The sequence below is a fragment of the Homo sapiens genome, chromosome 6, assembly GCF_000001405.40.
Source record: "Homo sapiens chromosome 6, GRCh38.p14 Primary Assembly".
In the NCBI taxonomy this organism is placed as follows: domain Eukaryota; kingdom Metazoa; phylum Chordata; class Mammalia; order Primates; family Hominidae; genus Homo; species Homo sapiens.
The window spans coordinates 68,358,177-68,364,805 of record NC_000006.12 but is presented as its reverse complement, the minus strand read 5'-3'; the positions used below and the strand labels follow the sequence as shown (position 1 = coordinate 68,364,805).

The following is a 6,629-nucleotide window of genomic DNA, read 5'->3' as shown; positions in this document are numbered from 1 at the left end:
GCTGTTGAGGGCACTACCCAAGGATTTTTATTAGTCAGATTATGCTGTGGTAGCAACAAACCCCAGAAACTCTTTTTTTTTTCCTCATTCTACATGTTCATTTCAGGCCAATTGGAGGGCTTTGATCTGCATGGTGAACACTGTAGGACCCAGGCTGCTGGAATGTTTCCAGGCACCACAGCAGAGGGAAACAAAAAGCATATTGAGTCTCTCACCAAATCTGAAAGCTTCCATGAGAAAGTGACATGCACTTCCTTTCATATTATACGTTGCCCAAACCAAGTCATGCGGGCACAAGAAAGGGAGCAAAATAAAATCCTACCCTGTACTCAGGAAGAAAACCAACTGCATTTGGCATATAGCACTAATGATTACCAAAGAAGCCAATCATACTCTACTACCCACAAACTTTCCCACAGTAACCTTTTAATCTGTTTTTTAGTTTGAAAAGTGTAGTGTACAGTCTGTACCACAGCATGCTTCAATATGCAGCATTATTTGCTGATGAGGGCTTTGTCTCCACCATGCACAGAGAACATCCCAAGACCAATACCCTGAGGAATCTCAACGTTCTTGGATTGATCTGCTTTTTCTTCTCTCAGCTAAAGATTTCTTCATACCACCACAGACTAGGTAAGGATAATTTCTAGTTGTTTGAAAATTCTACTTTCAGCCCATTAGAGTTTTTTTTTTTTTTTTTTTTTTTTTAGCTCAAGAAGTCTTTAACTATCATCTATTTCTACCCTACCCAATTCCCTAGATAAAGAGCTCTGACATGAGAACTAAGACAAATCCCATGAGATGGCAGAAGATCAAATGTATACACACACACACACACACACACACACACACACACACACAGCTTTTGATTTTCTCTTTCAATCTTGCTATCCAGAGATCTTATGGGTAAAGCAAATAAATTAATCATGCATATGAAATAATGAGTTGATTTTTTTCCCAGTTTTACTAAAGTAGTTAGTAGTCTCAGATCCTCACGTTTCCCTAGAGCGGTACATACTGATGTTTGAGAAGATGCACTAAGCATCGGTCCCACTAAATGCTGGACATTTATGAGGCCTTAAAAATGCTTTATCACATTTTTCAACTGACCGTGTGTATAAGCCCAGTTATTTTGAGGATAAACAAATTAGTAAAATAAAAAATTATTATTTTTGTACATGGCTAGTCTGAAAATGAAAAGTGAAACTTAGCTAATAATTTTATTTTATTTTGTTGTTGTTGTTGAGATGGAATCTTGTTCTGTCACCCAGGCTGGAGTGCAGTGGCATGATCTCGACTCACTGCAAGCTCCGCCTCCCGGGTTCACGCCATTCTCCTGCCTCAGCCTCCAGAGTAGCTGGGACTACAGGCGCCCGCCACCACGCCCGGCTAATTTTTTTGTATTTTTAGTAGAGACGGGGTTTCACCATGTTAGCCAGGATGGTCTCCATCTCCTGACCTCGTGATCCGCCCGTCTCGGCCTCCCAAAGTGCTGGGACGACAGGCGTTAGCCACAACACCCGGCCTTCTCTAATAATTTTTATTGAGAAAAGTTAATAGCAATAAGCAGCCCATGAGTGAATGGCTACTAATAGTTTAGCTCACTTTGTGTAAGCTTTCCATATTAAAACATAAGTAATTAATATAAAAGAGAATTTCCTGCCTTTTGACACTGACGGAATTTTTTTTAAGTTCCTTTACTTATGTGCTACTTGGCTCCATAGGCCCATTGTTTGAGCTGAAATAACCTGGCTGAATTATGGGGGAAATAATTTTGGTAAAAGACTAGTAGAAATATAAGACTACTGTGTCTTATATCAGACCCTCTTCCACACCAAAATGCATTAAGCTTTCAATATAGGTAAAACAGCAGGCACACCAAAACCGCTGGTTAAATAAGTAATCTATTCATGGAGAACTGGTCTTGGTTTATTTAGCTCTGGGCTTAAATCCTTAATTATGAACCTTAATTATGAACAGTGAGACCTATATGATCTCACTGACTGCAACAGAATTATCACTTCCTAAATGGCACAATAGGTAACTATAATGGGTATTTCCTTGACAAAAATATTTAAGTGTTAGCAGCCATAAAAAGGAATGAGATCGTGTCCTTTGCAGGGACATGGATGAAGCTGGAAACCATCATCCTCAGCAAACTAACACAGGAGCAGAAAACCAACCACTGCATCTTCTCACTCATAAGGGGGAGTTGAACACTGAGAACGCATGGACACAGAGAGGAACAACACACAACAGGACCTGTTGGGTGTTGGGGGGGTGAGAGGAGGGAACTTAGAGGATGGGTCAATAGGTGCAGCAAACCACCATGGCACACGTATACCTACGTAGCAAACCTGCACATTCTGCACATGCATCCCATGAATATTTATTTCAGTGCTAGCAAATAGCCTATCCGGTCATTGGCCCATCTAGATAAGCTATAGTCGGTCAACCCAAACTTTGTTATTGCCTCTTTCCGTGCAATACAGATAAGAAATAATACCTGCCCCCATCCCCTGACACACATACACGCACACTTATGCATATGCTTATGCAGTAAACCTTTTGGTATTGCATAAATATTTTTATTTATAATTACAAAGCTGTGATACACTACCATATTCAGTGGGATTTTAGAATTTCCCTGCAAACAACACAAGTTGTCAAGTACTTAACATACATTACTAACACATGCAAACTTAAGTGACTTAAACGGGCATTTAAGAAAGTTTCACCTCATCTGCGTATGGCAACGCTGATGAATTACTTCAGAACAGATGTTAACGTTTAGCACATTTACTTCCTTAATGTTCATTTGAAAAGAAATATCTTATGCTGTAAATTATAAGACTGACAGACTGGAGAGTGGAAAAATATCTATATTTTTCCTATCAATTAAACACCTTTGATTTTGGAGTCAATGTCTTTAGTAAAATGTTTGAGAGCCATTAAACATTGTTCATGTCTCTTTAATTACTCTAAACTAAGCATTTACAACTCCACAGGGAGAAATCATGTTTCCAGTGTCAGTGGTTACACAGTTCCCAATGTTAATTCACTAACTCTTTAAAAATATTTCTTTCAGTAAATATCTGTTCTAAAAGAAAGCATAGGTAGTGTATCAGTCTGTTCTCACATTGCCATAAAGATACTACCTGAGACTGGGTAATTTATAAAAGAAAGAGGTTTAATTGACTCACAGTTCCACATAGCTGGGAGGCCTCAGAACTTACAATCACGAGAGAAGGTGAAGGGCGAAGCAAGGCCTTTTCTTTGCATGGTGGCAGGAAAGAGAAGCGTAAACAAAGGAGGAACTTGCCAGACACTTATAAAACCATCAGATCTCGTGAGAACTCACTCACTATCACGAGAACAGCATGGGGGAAACCTCCCCCATGATCCAATAATCTCTCACCAGGTTCCTCCCTCAATGCCTGGGGATTACAATTCAAGATGAGATTCAGGTGGGGACAGAAAGCCTAACCATATTAAATAGGGACTACTCAAGTCACACATGAAATAGAGCAATGCCTCTCAAATTTCAGCATGCATTAGATTCACCTGATGGACAGGTTCAAACACAGACTCTGGGCCCACCCTCAGAGTTTCTGATTCAGTACTGTGGGGTGAGGCCCAAGAATCTGCATTTCTGACAAGTCCCCAGATGTTGATGTTGAAGTAGCTGCTCTGGGAGCTGAACTTTAGGAATTAATGGTATTGAGTATGTAAACACACCCAATTGTTTTTCTAGGTTAAAAAGTGTTCAATATTTGAAAAAGTTTGGGGAAATCCTGCAGAGTAAATTGTAATCTTGGAGATTTACAACAAAGGTTCTAAGAAGTACTAAAGTTAAAAAAATCGTTTGATTTTTCTTTAACTCAGTATTTCTCCAAATCATTTGATCAAAAATCCTATTTATCATAAATAATTAATTAACGTATACTTGGACATTTGTAGAAACAGAGTTAGGAAAATTTCTCTCTTAAGATTCTTATGTAAACCTTGTAACATGGGACTGCTGGTTTCTGGTTCCACATGTAAGAAGCTTGGAAGTTGCCACTGTGTCCTAACAACAGGTAAAAAGATAAACAGACTGAAAAATCAACAACTTTTCCTAGATCTGAAAGAGAATGGAGGACACGGACAAACTGCTACACCCAAAATTGGAAAGACAGACGGGAAATACTGGGAGTTATTGTTTACCAGAGCAAAGACTCGTGGCCTGAAACTACCACAGATAGGTAAACTTGAACTGTAATGATAAATTCCTGAAGGTTCAGTGTAGACAACTGTGAGAAGTAAAAACTCAAGAGTCCCAAGAATAGCAGGTGGCCCCCAATATTTTGAGATTTAGCTCCACAGCTCAACTATATTCTCACACTAAAGACTGGAGAAAAGTCTCCTCATCCTTCTAGCAGGAGACCAAGAAAAGAAAATATTTTGAAATATGCTACAGTAGTCTGTTCTTTTTAACAAGGTATGCCCCCAGTAGAAACGAGTTAACCAGATCCTAACCTTCTGCGGTGTTTCTTATCAGAGCCCAACTGACCTGGGAGATAGAAATATCCAACTCGGCTGGGCGCCGTGGCTCACGCCTATAATCCCATCACTTTGAGAGGCAGAGGCGCGCGGATCACGAGGTCAGGAGATGGAGACCATCCTGGCTAACACGGTGAAACCCTGTCCCTACTAAAAATACAAAAACAAAATTAGCCAGGCGTGGTGGCGGGTGCCTGTAGTCCTAGCTGCTCAGAAGGCTGAGGCAGGAGAATGGCATGAACCTGGGAGGCGGAGCTTGCAGTGAGTCGAAATCATGCCACTGCACTCCAGCCTGGGCGCGACAGAGTGAGACTCCGTCTCAAAAAAAAAAAAAAAAAAAAAAAAATTCCAACTCTAGTGAGCTCTAGCTTTCTAAGTAAGAGAAGGGAAATACCCAATTTCAGCTCATTATAGCTATCCCGTTCCACCTAAGGCAGGAAAAAACTGAGAAACACTTGTGAAATTCACAGTCCAGGACATGGGCTTACTAAAAGACTGAGATCAAATCATAGGACTATAGAACACTTATAGGACTATAGAAACCCTCACTCCACACATTACTAAAGGTCTATTTACAGCACTTTTATTTACCTGATATATTCTGTCCAGCTATAAAAACAACTTTTTTTTTTCAAGATGGCACAGACTTTTAGCATAGCTCAGCTACTTGGAAATGGCAAGATAGTGCATAAACTCTGAGTTTTTTTGAAGAAGAAAAATGGGAATCCACTGAAATCGTGAAGGATATCTCGGAGTATCTTAGGGAGTAGAGCATGGGCAAACAGCCCTCGTGATGTAGTCCAGCTGATAAAAGTGAGTGAAACCCCAGTATGTGAGAGAGGCAGAGAACTTCCCTCTGTGACTCATCTTTTCATTGGGCATCTGAACAACCCAGGCTGAGGGAGAGCACTTTGTTTCTCTCAAGCCCTAGAGCTAACTTGAGGAGAGACTTAGAGATGCTGTGAAGAAAGATAATGGAAAAAGCTGCAGTCATTTTCCCAGACCCAGAACCGAGAGTTGCACACGATTTTAAATCTGGAAGAACATAACGTAAGCCATTCCTTGGTGAGCTGGCAGTGTGCCTACACAGGCATTTTAGTTTTCAGGCCAGAAATTGGAGTGCCTGCTCTAGAGCTGGATATGGACCCCCACAGCCAGAACTCTGGAAAGTGCCCCAGCAGTAGGAAGTGGAATTGTGTTCTGTCTCATCACAGGCCTGGAGCAGGAGGAGAGCTGCTACAGCTGCAGTTTCTCCTGAATTATGAGACTTGCAGCCCAGGACAAACTTGGCAATGTGGAACTGGTCTGTATGTGTCATTGCTGGATGCCCCAGCCTGTTCCCCTGAGATTGTGGTGCAGTGGGGCCCTCTCCACTCCATCCACAGGCATAGATCCAGGCATTTAGGGTACTCACTTACCTGGACCAACAGCCTGGGCTGCCCTACCCTTGCTGGACATTGAGCATGGTGCAGGAGGGCCCTTTGCTTCATGCCTAGGCAGATCTCAAAGCACCTAGTAGCCCAGATTTGTAACCTTGGCTACCATTCCTGTGCATAGATATGGGTGAAGGGGGGCCCTCCCTGCTTCATGCCCAGGCAGATGTCCAGCCATTCAGAGCACCTGTTTGCCTAGATCAACAGCCAGAGTCCATGCCCAGGCATATCTCCAGGCATTAGGGGCACCCACTTGCTTGGAACAGCAGCCTGAACCTTCCCACCATTGCTGTGGAGAGACCCTGGCACGGGGAGCCCTCCTCAACTCCATGCTAAGCCAAGGCAGATATCCAGGCATCTGGAGCACCCACTCTCCTGGATTAGGAGCTTAGGCTGCCCTCCATCCCTGCGCAGAGAACTTGGCAGTGAGGAGCTTTCCCCACTCCATTCCTAGGCAAACCTCTGGGTACTTGGAAGCCATCCTCTGGATTTTCTCTTTGTGCTGGTACTTGTGCCTGCCATTAGAGACCTTGTAGCTAAACCTGCCTGGTCCAGCCCTGCCCATCTTGCCCCTGACCCCCCAGGACTAAGAACACAGCTCAGACTACTTACTGTGCACTCCATGAATCAGACTATTGCCTGAGGAAACAGAGA

At 42.4% G+C, this 6,629-nt stretch overlaps 1 annotated feature.

Moving 5' to 3' along the window:
• Positions 1,155-1,336: a silencer, noted in NCBI's record as "fragment chr6:69073362-69073543 (GRCh37/hg19 assembly coordinates)". NCBI's record gives its function as "represses an EF-1alpha promoter that drives an FKBP-Casp9 reporter gene in an ReSE screen in K562 erythroleukemia cells {active_cell/tissue: K562}" and the evidence as "EXISTENCE:reporter gene assay evidence [ECO:0000049][PMID:32094911]".